Below are 20,274 nucleotides of genomic sequence, written 5' to 3' on the forward strand. Positions count from 1 at the left end.
AGTCTTCCCTTTAAATAGAGAGTGAAAGCCCTGATACTGACAAGGATAAGACAGGGGAAAGATAATTTGGTGGGGGGGTGTTGAGGGAGGAGAAGAATTCACCAACTCCCCTCAAAATCTCTGATTTCATATTTACTGTTAATATCCAATGTAAAAACAGTTGGCTTGATTTAAATGTCTTTGTTGGTTTCCCAAGCCCCATCACCACCACCACCACCGGCTCACCCTGCCAAGGCCTGAGATGCTGAAGACCACTTTTCAGCCTGATGTAATTTCTAACAGCTGAGATACTAAACACTGAAAAATGGGGTTTATAATGGAAATGCTGACAGACTATTAACTATAGCAGCACTGCTCTAATAAGTGGAATGGCCTATCTTAATCTCTAGTTCATAAATATGCAAATACAAGACTGGAGATTTGCTCCAAAAAATGTCTCTATAATTTTAACTGACCTTTACTGATACCAAATGAGCCTGTTGCTTCAGTTTTTGTACGCTGGATATAAAGTACAGGAGATCCAGACGCCTGTCGGCCTAAAGTATATAAAGTTTAAACTGCCAGCTACTAAACTCTGGGCTCAGATTCCATTTCTCTTCACATTCACAGTCTTTATTGACATTTTCATTTTTTTTTCCCCAGGGGGTGTAAGCCGAGTCGGGGCGGGGCGGGGGGAACAAACCTTGTTCATCCCCCTTCCCCCACGACATTACTTCCACATTCACAGCGCCTGCCCAGCCAAAATTCATGGATCGCCTCAAGGACAAACAGGCCATCTACACTGAATTATAAATTTGAGTTTTATCCAGTTTTCTGCCTTTGGACCAAATGGGCAGCAAATCCAGTGACTTCATATTTAATAACCTAGATGTCATTTGTACTGTGTCTTTCAGCACAGAGTAAAGAATTGGATGGCTAGCAGTTTTGCAGATTTTTCCCCCTAATTATTTGAAGCTGTTCAGCCTGGTATTCGAACTATTGATGCAGAGCCAAATTGCCAGCAGGGGAGAGATCTGTCCAACCCAGGAGCTAAATGAGTCACTGAGAGTCAATCTGTTTTTCCCTTGCTGCTGGGGTTTCCTCTGGCCCTGGCCTCTCTGTCTCTCTGCTCCAGTCAGACACAGAGCTGCGGGCTCAGCCCTCATTGGCTCCTATCGCCTCCCATTCCCCTCCTCAGCCCTGCTTGCTGCAGCTGTTGATGGGGTCTGACTGGCTGGCTGCGGAGATTCAGGGCCTCAATGACACCATAGTTGAGGCCTTGCTTTGACAGAAAATGAAGACATCTTTGCCTTGTTGCATTTGCTTCTCCAGTAATACATCAGGTATCTGGAGAGTAAGGCCCACAAGCAGAGTGTGTTGTTGGGGTGCGATGCCAGTTCATCAATTCCCGACGTCCAGTTTTCAGAGTGCTCTTCTACTTTTCCTAAGTCCAAATGGAGTCCTTGGTGCCAGAATCCTGCATGTGGTCATAAAATAACAAAAATAAAGGTCTGTGGATGTGCTGGAGGTAGTGGCAGGGCAGAATGCCACCAACATAAGCCAGGCTTGCTGGAGTGGTCACTCTTCAAGCATTGGAGAAAAATTCACAGTGCTTCTAATAACATATTTTTTTTTCCAGTAGAAACATTTTATTTCTAACAACATTTACTTAAAAACAAAATTCTTGTATTCTTCATGTAGGGTCAGTATTCAATTGCACAAAAATATGCAGCCAACTTAAGAACTATATATAAGATTAAGACACCTGGTATTTCATGGTAAATGATTAAATTAACTAACACAGTTATATCCTGAACTTTGCCATTAGGAATGACAATTTTGTTCGATATGCATTGAGGATTGTGGGTAATCTAAACTGGTATGAGCTTTTTCTCTTTGAAACTCAAACAGAATTAAGGAACAGCATTCTCTGCAAACAGAATATGGAGTTTGAGAACAGCCACAAAAAATTCTCTTGTAGTAAGCTGAACTGCCCTAGGAGTACTCAGGAATTAGACAACTCAGGAATTAGAGAATTAGAGAACTGGAGAAATGAGGGGGCGTGGATAGTAGGGAGAGAAAAATTGATTAATTGATTTACTATATTTTTCAAATAGAAGTATCTGGGAAAATAAGACAAAACAAGCAGAGTTGTTTCTTTTTCACAGTGAAGCCCCAGAGGGGTGAAAGCTTTGTTCTCCCTGGGTAGCAAGCTCTTTTTCCACATTTCCGACTGCATATTCCATATTTATGATGATTTTTGGTCTCTCTGTTCCTGGCTTGCTAGGTGGCAAGGGCAGTTAGAGAAAAAAGGCAGATTTATGAAACACAGAAAAATTTCTGACTGAAATCAGGCTTGGATTTGTGAATCACTGTTTTTTCCCCCTGTGGTCACTCCTGTGATGAGGTCAACTGCTTCAATCCTTTAGGTTTTGTAGACAGGTTTCCGGATTCCAGGAGTCCCAGAAGGTCCAGGGAGCGCTCCCCACATTTTAGCCAGAAGTAATTAACTAAAACATAAAGGCCCCACTTTCTCTTTTCACACTTTGAGCCACAGATCATCTAATTCCTAGCTTGAGACATCAGATTTCAGATCATTAGTGCAAAGCATCTTCCACAGGAGGCAATAAAATGTCACTTTATGTAACTCAGCTACAGTTACACTGCCTTCAGAAAGCAGGAATCTCCCTGAAAACAAATTTACATGAAAACAGTCCCATTGTTTGAGAATTTATGCAAATGTTGCACAAAGGGGTTTGATAGTGATTTTAAAAACTTAAATCTTTATCACTGCCTCAAAGATATCCTGAGAAACTTGGTTACCTCTAAAGAATTCCATTGCACTTATTTTTTAAAATGCCTATAATATAGAGTTGTTTTAAAAATTTTCCCTAAACTCTAAACTTCTTTCTCAGCTTCAAAGCCTTCCGTAATGAATATCCTAAAGAGAGCCTAGTGCATATTGGTTTAACACTTACTAGGATCACTCATTACTAGTTAAGAAAATTGAAGATAACAACCATAGCACCAAGTATTTTGAACAACATAAAATGTTTCTCCCGTGGGTGTAGCTCTTAGGGACCGCATGGGGATACACACCCCTCAGTGCTCAATCAGCAAAAGATGAAGCTGTAAGTGTCTCAATCCATGTTGATTGACTCTGAACTCCCCAGTGTTAGGAATCTGGATGTGTCCATTACTGCATGTTCAAACAATGAACTGCCTGCACCAGAAATCTGATTTCTGTAGAAAGACATTAAGGGGCTGGGTGAGGAATAGGGTGTCAACCAAACGTTGTGATATTTTCCTTTGATTTTCACTTTCTTTAAATTCTTTTCCATTTACTACCTAGTGACTGTCTGGCATTGGTACCCTCAGTTTCTTTTCTTCTGCTTTTCCTCCTAATTCAGTGTGGAAGATGATCAAAGTATGACATTTCTTCTACCCCAGAGGCTGGCATTTCTGCAGGCACAAATGAGCTTGGTTTTCAAGCACTGCTCTTTGAACACAAGGAATTCCTTTAATGATCACGCCGGACTATATAGACTTTGGAATCAGACTCTTTGAATTCCAGCTCTGCCATTTACCAACTTTGACACTTTGGGTAAGTCCTTTTAACCTCTTTAAGCCTCAGTTTCCTTTTCTGCAAACAGGAATAATGATAACTAACAATAATAATAATAATCCTTTCTCATTGATTAAAAATAAACTGAGCTGCAACTGCTATTCGTATGCTCTCAACATATGTGTGTGTGAGTATATATTTATTTTATATAGGTACCAATATACTATATACAGTATGATGTAAATAATAAAATGCAAAAAAGTAAACTAAATAATAAGGTTACAAAATAAACAAAAACAAATAATTTAATATTTTCTTTTTATCCTGCACAAATACTGGGAGCATTACTTCCACTTTCAATAACCTTAATGCATGTAGTGTGTTTAGCAGGCTGCATAGCACAAAGTAGTACTCAGGATATGTTAGGTTATTACTTATGTTCATGCCTAAGGAAAAGTTTAATTGGCGAAACTTCAGTCATTCCTGCAATGGAGAACATTCTGTTTCCTTTGGCTTCTTTTTTGACGTGACTTTGCTCTTATATAAGCAGCAGAGAATGGCTGAGTTGTAAGTCAAACTCTTCCAACATGGAAGAAACTTATTGCACAGTTCTGGTCAGCATTTTTTTTCTGCTCAGGTGTGCTCTACATTCACAATTATTTTCCACAAGGTTTCCTGTTTGAAGGAGGATTGGTGACTTCCCTTCCTTCAGACAAGCAATGATAACACAGTTGTGTTCCCTTGTGTGAGTCTGGGGTGACGTTGGCTCCTTGAGAAATGAAAACTTTATCATAAGAATCTGTGAAAATGGGGAAAATGGGAAAAGGAGGACAGATTCAAAATTGGAGGAAAACAGGAAAATCTCTCTTCATCTTTTCTAATTGTTCTTTTAATGAAATCAGTACTGCCCTTTGGCATTAATGATCGTATGCGAAAGGTAAGACACATTGATTTTGGATTTTATTGTTGTAGCATGGAGTATAAGTCTAGATATTTGTATAAATATTCTTGGTAGTGATGCTTCTAATTTCACACTCATTTATTTGTTATTCCTAAGCATTGGTATATATGCTTAGCATTTACATCTATGTCAGGCCCTGTGCTACTTTGAGTGTGAATTTATCTTCTGAACAAAGAGAAGCAAACCAAGGGAAATCCGGAAGCAAATCTAGCAAATCAGAAGCAAATCTTGCAAATGAGGAACACAAGATTTGCTAGAAAATTTAATGTGAACCAAGTAGTGATTGACCTTACATTTAAAAATTAGTATCAACCTTTCTTCTTGGAAGATCATTTCTTTTTTCTTTTCTTTTCTTTTCTTTTTTTTTTTTTTTTTGGACAGGGTCTTGCCCTATTGCCCAAGCTGGAGTGCAGTGGTGCCATCATAGCTCACAGCAGCCTCAACCACCTGGGCTCAAGTGACCTTCCCACCTCAGCCTCCTGAGTAGCTGGTACTACAGGCACATGCCACTATGCCCTCCTAATTTTTAAATTTTATTATCTTCTGTAGAGATGGGATCTCACTATGTTGCCCAAGCTGGTCTTGAACTCTTGGGCTCAAGTGATCCTCTCATCTTGGCCTCTCAAAGTGTTGGGATTACAGGCATGAGCCACCATACCAGGCCTTGGAAATTCTTTTATAACCTAAAATGTAAAAGCTTGGCAAAAATCTTAAAATATTTTTAAAAATCAAGGAATTAAAGGCAGAATAGAAATTTGCATTAATCTTGAGAAAAGTACTCAGTAAGTGCTCAGTAAGTATTTTAATTATGTTTTGGTTATTCTGGATCCACCGGGTGTCCAGGCTTAGAGATTTCCTTTATGTTCAGCCTTTTCTGTTGGCTTCACTCTTCTTGAAGCATAAAATCTTAATGTAGGCAATGGTGATGTGAGTGTGTTTGCATACTTTTTTTGTTCTTCTCTTGTTTCTGCACACAGAAAAGACCACATTTCCTGGTACTTAGGGGACTTGTGACTTGCACTAGCTAATGGGCTATAAACTGAAGTGGGACAATGTACATTCTGGGCCTAGGCATAGAAGAATGCTATGAGGTCCTCTTTGTCTTCTACAGTAGGGACATGACCAGATGGTGTAATCACCTTCAGCCTGGGTCCCTGAGGAACTACCTGGAGTTGCTCCTGGTGCCTGAGTAGCCCTAGGAGCAGAGCATCTCACTAACTTGTGATGAGCATGTAGTGAAACAAAATAGAAACCTTTGTTTTGATGATCCACTGGGATTTTAGGGTTAATTTGTTACCTCAGCATAATCCGGTCTATCCTGAGAGTTGCGGGGTTTTTAGTTTTTATGTTTTTATTTTTCCTAGAAAAAGCAGAGATGTCTAGATCTTTCTCTAAAAATGTTCTACTCTGAGAAATTGTGAGCAAAGTACCACGATTTAAAGCCATCAGGGGACTGAAGTGAGACCAACTTATGAAAAGATCAAGCAAAAGGACTCAAATATTTGAAATAAACATACACGTCCTGCTGGTCAAGTGTGCACATTGGAGAGTCAGCACTGTGTAGTGATTCTTTAAGGGATTCATCTAGGGAATTTGAATTGTGACAAGACTTTAACTTCATGAAAGATGAGGAAGAGTGCCCATTCAGGCTTTTAAAAGTGAGAAATAAAGGGTGACTTTTTAGAATGAGGTTTTCAGAACTTGAAAATAAAGAATTTGTACCACAAATATCTCTAGGAATGATGATCACTTAGGTCTCTGAGAAAAAGATCCACAAGAGTGAACCACAATTGGAAGCAAACAGAACTTATCAACACAGGAAAGTCCAGAGGGAAAATAACATTTTGGGTAAGAGCTCTCAAGTGTGTATCGAAGAGCTCCTAGTGTAACATTTTTCGTCATTGAGCTAATCTGGCATTATATAGGATGAAATCATTTTCTTAAATTGCTAACTAAGAGATGTCATGGAATAAAGCCCCTATGAGTAGAGTGGATATAATCAATATTCTAAGTTTGAAAGATAGTGACATTTCTGATTCCCCTAGCAGCCTGGAAGTGGTGGTTGCATGGCAGGCTCTAAGGCTGACTTGTTGACCTGTGAGGCTCTTTAAAATGTACTTTTAAGGCTGCTTTCTCCCTAATCTTAAACACTTGACCTTTGAGTCTGATATTCTTCAGTATTATTAGATTAGATGATTAGTTATTAAATATACTGTCTCCAGCAAATAGGTAATTGTGTAATGCAATGGCCCTCAGCCTTTCCAGGCCATGTTCCCAAGACATTTAGAGTTAGAACACTGAGTCCTTTTGTAGTAGGAATCTTTAACCCTTTCTGTGGGTCGAAGAACGTACAGGGGTTTCCCTAGGTCTCAAAATCAGCTGACTGACGAAGGGCAGTAAAAAATGTAGAGTGTCACATGTTTTTGAGAGCCATAAAATTCAAAGATCACAGAACTTTTATCACATTTATGCCCACATAAGACTGAGTAATACATACACCAAGATTTTCCCTGTGACAAGCTGGGTGTGATGAACAAATCTAGGTCCTTCCCAGGCTTTATGTTGGGAGTTTGAGAAAAGCTTAAGCACTGTTTTGCAACCAAAAGCATGCAGGTGTTAAAGTTTTAAATGTCTCTATTGCTTCTTGCCAAATTTTGCCTGGCATGAAGGGTTGGGGATGGAGAGGGGACGAAGAATAGAGGGAGGGACAGGATCTAGCATATTTTGATTCCTTAATATATGCAAAGCACAGTGCTAGGCATTTTACATATACAGATTCATTTAATCGTCCCCTAAATAGAAATAAAGTTTGTGTTATTAGTCCTCATTTTGCATTTAAGGAGCCTGAGGCTCAGAAAAGATAAAGTTGCCTAAGTCCAAACAGCCAGTAATTGAATTAGAATTTGAACTTGAGTTTGAAGTTCTTATTCTTTCCAATGTCTCACAATGTCTTTATTTTATTAAGTGCCTACTACATATAGATAAGGTGTTACTCATGTTGGCAGAAAAGGTAAGATGGTCAGGAAAATCTAGGAATGAATTATCCATGTCCTGTTTTTTAATTCAGTGTTTTTGGTAGCACAGTGTAAGGAACACAAAAGTACTGAGACACAATGATCTCTCCTTAAATTCGAAGCCGTAACCTATTTGAGAAGGCAAAGCATCATGTATCAAAGAATTCCTAAATTGGATGCTATGAATAAGTCCAAAAGTTCCCAGAGGTAGAGTAGAATACTCTGATCTTGTAAAATAGCCAAGATTTGGATAGAAAGGGCATTTCAGGTACACGGCATGGGAAGCCATGAACTGAGGAGTGATGGTTTTGCAGAAAGACCAGCCTGGCTGGGGAGGAGGAGCTGACTGCTCTGATTACCTTCCCCTGCCCTGGTCTAGACTGGTCCTCTGTGCTCCTCTCTCATTGCCTTTATCACACCCAGATAATTAACCACATGTGATGTATGTGCATCCATCTTCCCCTGTGAACTCCTTGGGAATAGGGGCTGCCACCTATTCACCTTCTTATTCTCAGTGCTTAAAGCAGTCCATAAAGCCCATTAGGTGCTCCATAAATAATTGTGAAGTAGATGGATGGAAAGATGGATTTAGATGAAAGGATGAATAGTGGATGATACATTTAGAACAAAAAAGGGAACCAAATTGACACAGAGGCAGGAAAAATGTTGAGCCAGATATGACAGTAAAAAGTTCTTGACTGAGTGTGTAAACAAATACAAATAGTATTTATGAGTGGGTTAGAATGATGAAAGACTAGGAGAACTGAGGTGATTAGAGCATGCATCAGTGAAAGTGAGAATGAGGAAGAATGAGGAATTGAAGTCAGAGAGTAGGGAGCAACCATGGGCTTTGGTTAGAGCTCTGATGGAAGGGAGAGGAGAGAATGGGCATCCTCTAGGAAGAAATGTGGGGTGCAGGGAAAAGGATATTGTTTTAGGAAATAATGAGGACACTTCTAGACACATTGAAAAATTGTAAAATGAGCTTAAATGATGATACTGAGCATTAAGTGCTAAGAGGGGCATTCAGGGTGACTTTAAGTATTTTGGAAAATATATGGAAAGAGGCTGGGAGTAGAGATGTGGATGGCTGGACAGAGTCAAGATTCTACCTGTTGCAGTCAGAGTCCAGATGTGTCTAGGGGTGAAAGATTGCCTCACCAACTCCTGGAGATTATGGATTCTCCCTGGAAGCCACAGGAAGTTTGAGGTATGAAATGATCCATGTGACTTAATTCACCATGAGATTTCCTAAGGCCTTGGTGTGGGATTTCAATCTCCCATTAATCAAATTAAATTAATTTTTGAAGCCTCTTGACTGATGGTGAGTGAATCCCAGACAAAGGCATCCCAGTGGGCTACCAGTGCCTCAGATTTCTACCCTGCTTGACTTGACCGCGTGTGCGTGCACACACACACACACACAATTAAGGTTAGGGTTGGAACAAAGAGAAAGGCACACACAACACATACATTTCTAGCCATTCTGAATTTCTAGCAGTTCTAGATGGTCTTAGGTCAGCAAAGGATTCTTGCACTCAACATTCAGCCAAAACAAGGCTAGTGTTCTTATCATAGCACACCCCACCCGCATAGAGACAAGAAACATTAGCTAAAGGATGTTCAACTCTCCTAAAACCACGAGCCAAGCCCAAATCATGACTCAGAAATCCAGACCTCAGTCATTTCTCCTGCTCATGAAGGCATTCCTTTTTTGAACTGGAAACAAACTCATAAATAAACATCTCCTTCCTCAGTGCCCCCAAACAACTTGATGGACAGAGAACTCTGCATTTTATAGGAAATGTTTGCAGATTTTTATGGTAAGTTTCCAAAAATAAAAGCACAAACATTTCTCCTCACATATATTTGTTAAGATAGTTACTGGTCCAAGTAGGAATACATATCATCCTGAAGGTAGAGAATGCACCAGGATCAGATCTTACCCATTTTCATAAACACCATGGAGCATAGTTAGCTCAGAATCCTACAGAGTCCACTTGGCTCAGACCCACACTGGTGCTTCAGGATAGTTTAACGTTTGGGGAACAGGTTCCCTTACTGACACATAGCATAATTAGGCATAATGTCTTAAGCGAACATATTAGCTCGGGCTTTTAACAGTGTGCAAGCCTCAGCTTCCGCAATAACAACCTAATCTTGTGTGGGAGCCATCTCAGGCTTCACTTGAACACAGGCACTGTTGTCCACCCACAGATAAAGCTTGGAATGGTTTTATTTATATCGTCCTTGTTAGTCATGCAATCTGTGCGCAAACAAAACAACATTATTCTTATCTCTTTGGAAAGTTTAATTCATTAGCAATTAAAAACTGGTGCAGAAGAATGGCCAGGCACCTGGAAAAGGCTCTTCCTAGCACAGCACACCCCGAAAGAGCAGTTTGTGGGAGCAACTTTCACCAATAACAACACAGTGACATTTGCTGAATTGTTGCACAGCCTTGTTTTTGATAAATAGTTTAGCCATGTAAGGATTATGCCACGGTAATTAAATAAGATAATGTAGCCAACAATCTCTTCAAAAGTACCTCGTTGAAACTTGCTGTTCTCAGGCCCTCGCCAGAGCCTGTTCCTGCTGTCTGCTCCCTGCCCACTCTCTTGTCTGGCTTGTTTTTAGGGGAGGTTGCGTCTGGGTCAGGTTCCTGTTGTTGTGACAAAGGCTTCTTAGTAGGAGGAATGCCTTGGCCCTAGAAGCTGGTTAAGGTCTACAGATTGAGTGAGTCCTATTTGGAACAGGGATGGGCCTTACAGTATTCTTTGCCATCTTAAGGTCAGGGAACTTAAGAATAGCAAACCTGGACTACTCTGTCAAAAGGTCATGCTCAGTCGGGCCTGACGGGGTGCTCCTGTAGTCCCAGCTACTCCGTAGGCTGTGGTGGGTGGATCAGTCGAGCCCAGGAGTTCAAGTCCAGGTTGTGCAACATAGCAAGACCTTGTCTCAAAAAAAAAAAAAAAAAAAAAAAAGAGTCATGTTCAATGCAAGATGTTAATAATAGAGGAAACTGTGGGAGTAGGGGTAGGGTAGGAAGAGGGTATATGGGAACTCTTCATACTTTCTGCCTAACTTTCCTGTAAACCTAAAACAACTCTAAAAGGTAGTCTATTATTAAAAACAAAAGCAAGTCAGGCTCGCCCATGGCTCTGAGATGTGAGGGTCCAAGATTTATTTTTAAAAGACTTTTCTTCTTCTCCATAAGAAGTTCAACAAGCAAGCACTGATATTTGGAGGGCTACACCCAGGACAGGGAATTTGAAACAAAACAGTCCCCTGGCTGCCTTCATTGGTGGCAATCCATTCATGTGGAAAGTGAGACTTGACCCAAATGAGGGGACCTCTAGGTTTAGCACCACTTGACCTTCGTCTGACCCTGGAATAAACAATACATCTACTCTTTAGTTTGGCATTGCATGGGTCAACTTGTTACTTAAATATTTTACTTTCAGCTGCTTAACTTTATATAGGTCAGCCTCAGTGTTGTTAAAAAAATGTTGCTAAAAATAATAAACAGTTTTGGAAATAGAGTACATCTAAAACAAATAAAGTTAACGTAGAATAATACATCTTAGGGCTAGTAGGGACTTCAGTTATCATTTGCTGCAAATTTTGCCTGCTCTTAAATAGGCATGAAAGAGTTAAATAATGCAGCCCCAGCAGGGCAGGTAGTAGAAGTTTTTTAATCCCAAATGCTGCCCCCGGGGGTAAGAGGAAGAGATATTTGATAATCCAAAGCAGAAAGTAAATATGGAATAAATTACTTCCACGTAACTGGGGAGATTATTTCAAGTAGATTGCAACTTGGAAATGGATCGCTTCTTTTCAAAACCTAGGGTGACCTGCAAATTTCCCATCCTGGTTTCAAGGTGGCACCAAGGGAAGGAGCAAGTCCTGGCTTTCAAGGGCACCTATAGCTGATATATTTTGTAAAGTCAAAGCTAACATCTTTAATATTTGCATTATTCAGATCCGTGCAGTAGTTAATAGGAACAGAAATAGAAAGAGACAGAGAAATGTGGCCAACAGAAAGACACTACCTTAAATGTTTGAGCTGTAACCTTTGGTAGATGGCAAACAGAAAACTCTTTGCAATTAATATAATTGCCCTTGTTCAAGGAAATAGTCAATTTGATTTGAAATGGGGTTGAAAAGCCTGGGAAGGGATCTGTGTGAGACACCTAAAAGAATTACTGTACATTTTTCCACGTAACGGGCCAATTTTCCCATTCTTTGGTTTTAGTGCTCCCTTTTATAGTCGGTATGACTATGCACCAATCCTATTTCCAAGTGGTAGTCTTTCTAATATTTGTCTTCTCCTCTTTTTTTTCAGACAACGTCTCATTCTGTCACCCAGGCTGGAGTGCAATGGCACAATTATAGCTCACTGCAGCCTCAAACACCTGGGCTCAAGCAATCCTTCCACCTCTGCCTCCTGAGTAATTGGGACTACAGGCATGTGCCACCACACCCAGCTAATTTTTAATTTTTAATTTTTTTGTAGAGATGGCGGTCTTGCTATGTCACCCAGGCTGGTCTTGAACACCTGGCCTCAAGTGATCCTCCGGCCTTGGTCTCTCAAAGCTCTGGGATTACAGACATGAGCCACTGCACCCGGCTCTATCTCCCCTTCCTATGTGTGTTAGCTCTAGAACAAGAGAAGCCTTGTTGAGATTCCTGGCTGCCCACCCCCCATCACCTCTCTGACTTTGGGCAAGTTGCCTGGCCTCTCTCAGCCTTTATTTTCTTTTTGTGAAATGGGGATAATAATAGTACTTGCCTCATAGGCAAAATGTTGTGAGAACTAAACGAGAAAATGCATGTAAAGCACTTGGCACTTAGTTCTTTTTATGATTATAATGATAATCAGACACAATAAATTATGTCTCACATCACATGCTGTTTAGCCTATTCACTGTTCTATTTTTCCTGAAGTCAGTTCAGTGTGTAGCATCCAGAATTGAACAAAACACCCCCGATGTGACCTGATAGTGCAAAGTAAACTATCATCTCCTTCATTCTAGGTATTATGTTTCTATTAATGCAGTCTAAAGGTAGGATATGAGTTGTTTTGTTTATGTATCTTTTTTTTTTTTTTTTCAGGGATGGGGAATGACTATCTCCAATTAAACTTCTCAGTAAAATCTCTCCTCTTGTGTGTTGTGCTTTAGTATTTAGTTTTGGATACTAGTGCAGGATCTTAAATTTATCCCATTACATGTGATTTCTTTAGTGTTAGTTCCTTTTCAAATCTGTATAAGCCATTCATTCATTCATTCATTCATTCATTTTAGAAAGTCAAACATATATTTATCATGAGCCAGCACAGTGCCAGTTATTTGCCATATTCTAAGATTTTAAACATTCATTGGCATTTTAATTGTGCATGATTTCTATACCTTCATCTGAATTGTTGTGTAACATATTTGGATAATACAGAGCTAAGGGCACAGGCAAAGAAATATCTTTAGAAACTTTCCTCTAGGCTCACCAGCACCCTTAGGGCACTGTCATTTAAATATTATGAATTAATCTTGTGTGGTATCATTTGGTACAAATTATTTTCCAGCTTGACCAGCAAGAAATCTTGAGACTTTCTCAGAATTCTTGTTCAAGTCAAGATTCCCTATATCTTTCTAGTCACCTAACTCAATATTCCTATCAAAATAAGATGAATCTGATGAGATTTTTTTTAAAAAGTGAAGTTAGGCTGGCTTGTTTCCTAATGGGCTGAGAGGACATATTCCCATTCCAGAATTTTGAAGAATCTAAGTGCACACAACACAGTGCCTAAAGCATGTCAGCTGTCTGTTTCGGATGCTCGTCCTACCACGTGTAGCATGGCGAAGACAGGAGTCAGAGGTTGGGAAGTTTAGCTAGGTGAAAAAGTCTGCCCTAGGGCATGCCCTTCCCACTACTGGAGAGCAGTTGCTTTACATTTTATTTTACCTAGCTTTTTGTAAATATTTCTCCCTTTCTGGGTTACTTGTGATCAAGGGGCATGGACTTACTCATCTCTTATAATTCCAATCAGTGCATGACACATCATAGCTGATCCTCAATTATGTTTTAAGTTAATGTACTCAAGGTTTATTTGTCAATTGAATGCCTAACCTATTACAATTAAGGAGAGAGAATACTATCCCCTTTCAGTCCAGGTGTATGGCAAATGGAGATGTCTGTAGGTATTAGGACATCCCTAGAAACTTTCAGAAAGGCATTGGAGGAATGCCTCCTTAAACAGTATGAAACTCCAGTGATTAGCAATGGAGTCTAATGAATGAGAAGCAGTATAATGGCTTTCTCAAAATATTGGGAAATTCATGATCTTTTTCTCTCCTTTATCATTCCTAGGGTTTTGGAAATCTGGATTGTAGCAGGGCATTGTAAGTTAAAAAATCATCTTCCCATTCTGTTCTTTGCAAAGATATTTCTGTTCCTTAAATTTGTTGAGGGTAAGAGATTGCAGATTGCTTCTGTGGACTTCTTGAAGGTAAGTATTATTTCTTGATATTTGTATCTCCAGTGTCTGGCACAATGCTTGGGGGTGAGGAAGAACTCAATAAATGTTTGTTGGATGAATAAGTAATATTTGTGAAAGTGTTTTGTAGACTATGAAACTGCACAAACGAAAGATCACAAGGATGATTGCTTATGAAGCCCAGAAATTGAAGTGGAACTCCTTTCTTAATGTAACACACACATACATATTACACACATTTTTTTCCTTGAATAGTGGCTGCATTTTTTTTAATGGAACACTGGGCTACTTTTAAATATTGAAATCAAAATGTACATGCCCACTTTTTATTAGCAGTTGCTCCATTTGCTCCTCCAGCTTTGGCTGGAAAACATCTATTTGTATACTTAGTATCTCTGTCCTTGGTTACCCCCATCCCTGCCTTCTCACCCATCTTTAGTCTGCCTTATGGTCTTGCATAGATTTTCAACTGTTAGACTGTCAGGCTTGCAAGGATGCATTTTAAGAAATCAGTTTCTTTGAAAGCACTTGAACCAAAAGTCAAATGGCATGATGTAAACCAATAGTCTTTCAATGAAGATATGAAAACCCTCAATAATTACAAATAAGGAATCTAACCTATTGACACCAATTTGATTACACTGTATTGATTTCTACAAAAATATTATGAGAGAGCAGGCTACTTATACTCTACTGATCAGATTACAAGTATACTTAGTAAAGACAGAAATAGTATAGCCATAAAAGAGTTTACCTTAAAATGTCACCTGATGTTAGTTGTCCCTCACTGATTCAAGTAATTTCCTTTATTGAGGTGGATCTGCCTGTTGGTGGAGAACCCTAGACTGCATGCAGCCATGCACATGATCTGGAGACACAGCAGGTGAGTCCAGCATGTCAAGAGCAGATGACAATGAATGGAAAAAGCTGGTCTTGCTACTTTCTCAGTAACAGTGACTAGCAGTGTGTATGAAGAGATCAAAATTCTAAAGGTTCCCACAAATTTCTCAGTTTCCTATTTAGGGCTTTAGGTCTTTGGAGATATCTTCCAGATACGGTATTTGTCTGTTTTCCTTATTCTTCTGTGAACTGGTATAAATGAAGGTGGGTAGGGTGGGGTGAGTGGGGCTTTGAGGCCTTCCATTTCATCTGAGCTCGATGTGCCAGGAGGAGGCCCCTGAGAAGCTCAGGCAGTTCCACATAAGCCAGCTCCCACACAGCTCAGCAGGACTTGACAATGATTGCACTGTGAGGCTTTCATCCTTCTGGGCAATTGGCAAATCCAAAATTTCTAGGTAGAGGGGTTTAGGGTGGCACCCTGGAGAGGAGGAAGGATCAAGGGCATTGTCTTGAAGCGGCTTTGTCTAACAAGCACCAATTTTTTACTTAGCTTGAATGCTTATTTTGACATATCTCGGAGTTAAGTAAATGGAAATTTTTGAGAGGAAACTTAAGGAAACTCCAAGTCACCCCTGGATATTGCCAATAGAACCCAAGTATGGTAAACACTTCAAAGCCTCCATAGTGTTGTATGAAGCATGGAATCCCTCTTCTGAGGGTTTGAATTCACTCACCAGGGAAATGTTTTTCAAAGTATTGTCCTACTGAACCATGCAATCAAGAGTAGTGATGGGGAGGGCTTCTAGTGAAGGAGAGCCTTCATCTGTAATAAGCATCTTGGACAGAACTAATGCACAGTGAAGTCTAAAACCACTGTCCACTGAAAGAACCTCAAGAGCTCTTGTCCTTCTGATGTATGGAATTTCTTAATTTTTTATTCCTTTGTATCTCCCAGTGGTATTTTGGAATACGAATACCTCCACTGGATTACTTTCCCCATTGTGACTAGGAAGTCTGTATCTTTTTGAGCGAATCAAATTATCAAAGGGCATCCCTCAGAATCTTTCATGCTGCATCTAATGAGGAGCTCACTTACATTTATAGCACACGGTATTGACCATCACATTGGGCAAAATGAAAACATGACAATAATATTAATACCACATGTTTAAATAATAGTCTACAATTCACAGTTACATAAATTAAATTGCATGGTTAAATTCATAGCACATTTATAGTTAAATCATATCTCATCAATTTTTACAATATGCTGTCAGGGTAAGGCCATATTCTTTCTATTTTACAGATGAGGAGCTTGAGACTCAGAGAAGGCAATGACACACCTTAGGTCAGCTGACTAGTGTACACAGAGAAATTGGCTCTCAAGTCAGATCTCCCAACCCTAGTCCACCAATGCTAACTCATGTCATCAGATGACATCCCAAGGGGCTTTCAGGAAGATTCATTGATGTCAGATCACCTGGGTTCTGACATTTGTAGTCCCTTTGGGAAAATCTCCACTTAGATTGCCATGGACATCCTCTTGATGAGTGACAGTTTTCTCCAGGGAAAGATGCTTCTTAGTTGGTCTTGCTCCACCTGTACCGGTCAGCTTTACCGTAGGCCTCACATTCTTGATACAGAGCACATCCTCTCCTGCCTTGCTGGCCACTGTATTGCTCACGTCAGGGAGGGTGTGACTCTAACATTTCACAAAACTCCTTTTTCTCATATCTGATTATGCCGTGTTTGTAGACACACTGTAGACGTGTGACCATATTTTCTACTTCTTTGTTTTAATCATCTTGATTTAATCCCTGTGAGCTCATATTCCTTCATTAATGTCATCAAATTAAAAGAGGAAAAGGGATTTTGGAGGCTTATGCTGGATTTCCCCAAAGACAGGCACGATAGTGGTCCACTCAGCCTCTGCTGTGCCCTTCCTGTGGCAGGGACACACTATCAGGGAATGCAGCCTGTAATAACTAGACCCCCCTCATTATCACATAGGCCTTCCTTTTGTTCAGCTGAAAATTTCAGCTTTTACCTTCCACACATTGGTCCTTGTCTTGTCCCTTTTTCATGTGAAAGTTTTTCAAATATATGAGCCAGTCATCACGTAGCATTGAAGTTATATAACTGGAAGTTGTTATGTTCTGAACCATGTCTCTCCAGATTCATATGTTGAATTCCCAGCCCCCAGTGCCTCAGAATGTGACTGTATTTGGGAACAGGGTCTGCATTAGTTTGTTTTCACACTGCTATAAAGATATACCTGAGGCTGGATAATTTATGAAGAAAAGAGGTTTAATTGATTCACAGTTCTGCAGGCTGTACAGGAAACATGGCTGGGGAGGCTTTAGAAAACTTACAATCATGGTGGAAGGTGAAGAAGCAGACACATCTTCACATGGCTGGCAGGAAAGAGAGAGAGCAAAGGGGGAGGCGCTACACACTTTCTAACAACCAGACCTTGCGAGAACTCTATCAGGAGAACAGCAAGGGGAAAGTCAACCCCCAGGATTCAGTCACCTCCCACCAGGCCCCTCCCCCAACTCTAGGAATTACAGTTAGACATGAGATTTGGGTGGGAACACACAGCCAAACCATTTTATTCTGCCCCAGCCCCTCCCAAATCTCATGTCCTTCTTACATTTCAAAACACAATTATGCCTTCCCAACAGTTCCCCAAAGTCTTAATTCATTCCAGCATTAACTCAAAAGTCCATGTCCAAATTTTCTTCTGAGACAAGGTTAAGTCCCTTCCAAATATGAGCCTGTAAAATCAAAAACAAGTTAGTTACTTCCCAGATACAATGGGGGGTACAGGCATTGGGTAAATGCTCCCATTCCAAAATATAGAGGATACAGGCCTTATGCAAGTCGGAAACCCAGCAAGGCAGTCATTAAGTCTTAAAGCTCCAAAATAATGGAGCTTAAAGTTGTTGGTGGATTTACCATTCTGAGTCTGGAGGATGGTGGCCCTCTCTTCAAAGCTCCATTAGGCAATTCCCTAGTGGGAACTTTGTGTGGAGGTTCCAAGACCATATTTCCCCTCCATACTGCACCAGTAGAGGTTCTCCCTGAAGGCTCTGCCCCTACAGCAGTCTTCTGCCTGGACATTCAGGCATTTCCATACATCTTCTGAAATCTAGGTGGAGGCTCCCAAGCCTCAACTCTTGCCCTCTGTGTACCCACAGGCTTAACACTACATGGAAGCCATGAGGCTTGCAACTTTCACCCTCTGGAGCAGCAGCCTAAGACATATCTGGGGCCCTTTGAACCATGGCTAGAGCTGGAGCAGCCGGGATGCAGGGAACCATGTCCTGAGGCTGCGCAGAGTAGCAGGGCCCTGGGCCTGACCCATGAAACCATATAACCCTCCTATGCTTCCAGACCTGTGATGGGAGGGGCGGCTGCAAAGGTCTCGGAAATGCCTCCGAGGCATCTCTGAAATGCCTCGGAGGCATTTCCCCATGGTCTTGGCTATTGCTATTAGCATGTGGCTCCTCTTTACTTATGCAAATTTCTGCAGCTGGCTTAAATTTCTCCCCAGAAAATGGGTTTTTCTTTTCTACCACATGGCCAGGGTATAAATTTTCCAAACTTTTATGCTCTGCTTCCCTTTTAAATGTAATTTCCAGTATCAAATTATCTCCTTGTGCATGCATATTAGTTTATGCTGTTAGATGCAGCCAGGCCACATCATGAATGCTTTGCTGCTTAGAAATTTCTTTTGCCAGATACCCTAAATAATCTCTTTCAAGTTCAAAGTTCCACAGATCTCTAGCACAGGGCCACAATGCCACTAGTCTCTTTACTAAAGTATAGCAAGAGTGACCTTTACTTCAGTTCCCAGTAAGTCCCTCATCTCCATCTGAGACCAGCTTGGCTATCTCTGTCCATATTACTGTCAGCATTTTTGTCAAAATCATTCAACAAGTCTCTAGGAAGTTCCAAACCTTCCCTCATCTTCCTATCTTCTTCTGAACCCTCCAAACTGCTCCAACCTTTGTACATTACTCAGTTCCAAAGCTGCTTCCACATTTTCAGGTTTCATTATAGCAATGCCTCACTATTTGGTACAAATTTTCTGTATTAGTCCCTTCTCACACTGCTATAAAGACATACCTGAGACTGGGTAATTTATGAAGAAAAGATGTTTAATTGACTCACCATTCTGCAGGTTGTACCAGAAGCAGGGCTGAGGAGGCCTTAGGAAACTTAAAATCATGGCGGAAGGCAAAGGGGAAACAGGTACATTTTCTCATGGCCAGCAGAACAGAGCGAGGCAAAGTGGGAGGTGCTACACACTTTCAAACAACCAGATCTGGTGAGAACTCTATCACAAGAACGGGAAGGTGGAAGTCCGCCCCCCCGTGATTCAATCACCTCCTACCAGGCCCCTCCTTCAACACTGGGAATTACAATTCAACATGAGATTTGGATGGGGAAACAGAGCCAAACCATATTAGGGTCTTTAAGAGGTAATAAGTTAAAATGGAGTTATTAGGGTGGCCCATAATTCTACAGAACTGATGTCCTTGTAAGAAGGGGAAGAGACACCAGAAGTGCCAGCACAGAGGAAAGGTCCTGTAAGGACACAGGCTAAAGACAGCCATCTACAAGCCAGGGAGAGAGGCCCCAGAAGAAACCAAAGCCACAAATACCTTCTCTTGGACTTTCAGCCTCCAAAGCTGTGAGAAAATACATTTCTGTTGTTTAAGCCACCCAAGTCAGTCTGTGGTACTTTGTTATGGCTGCCCTAGCAGATGAATTCAGAAGTCAAATGTATATGGCTTTGAAGCCACAGAGGAAGGTGAGATTATCTGACCAGAGATCCAAGGTGAAAGGGGTGGAGAGCTATGGGGTAAATCACTTTACAGAGTGGGTATAGGAAGAAGAGCCTGTGAAAAACACAGAGAAGAATCAAGATAGAGCAGAGTTAAAGATGACAAGGGAAGACAGAGTTCTTTGCTTTCTTTTATTTTGGGTTCACATCTCTTAATTTCGTGTTCACTTTTGTTAAGGTCATCCTCAGCATTTATACTCTCTCTCCTTTTGTGCCCCCATGGACCAAGTTAAGAAGGTGTAGGCTTCAAATCTTAAGATCGGTCACCACAAAATTCAAAAGTAAGTGAAAGTGTTTATATTAGTGTCACTGAATCAAGAGCCAATCTCAAAATTTACTTGGGGAATTTTTCAAAGTGCACATTTATTTGACATACACTGCGAAATTTTATTTTAGTATAGATTTGTGGTGGGATACTACCATATATTTTGAAAACAAACAAACAAGCAAACAAAAAAATGTTCCCCAAACCCACAGAATCCCCAGGTACTTTTGATGTACACACTGATGGAGACAAACTAATCCAGATGAAAAGACAAATGAATTTTTTTCTACATGCCTGGAAATAAT

The 20,274-nt window shown here is 40.5% G+C and overlaps 1 pseudogene across 1 annotated transcript in view; it reads left to right on the plus strand.

The window, feature by feature from the left end:
- Window positions 1-20,274, plus strand: part of HYDIN2 (HYDIN axonemal central pair apparatus protein 2 (pseudogene)) — a 335,703-nt pseudogene that overhangs the window by 26,532 nt on the left and 288,897 nt on the right. The window contains exons 4-8 of the transcript NR_103556.2: window positions 3,390-3,583; window positions 11,865-11,986; window positions 12,556-12,585; window positions 13,886-13,917; window positions 14,827-14,895. The product of NR_103556.2 is annotated as an HYDIN axonemal central pair apparatus protein 2 (pseudogene) (transcript). The remainder of the gene's footprint in view (window positions 1-3,389; window positions 3,584-11,864; window positions 11,987-12,555; window positions 12,586-13,885; window positions 13,918-14,826; window positions 14,896-20,274) is intronic.

This window comes from Homo sapiens, chromosome 1, assembly GCF_000001405.40.
Source record: "Homo sapiens chromosome 1, GRCh38.p14 Primary Assembly".
NCBI lineage: Eukaryota > Metazoa > Chordata > Mammalia > Primates > Hominidae > Homo > Homo sapiens.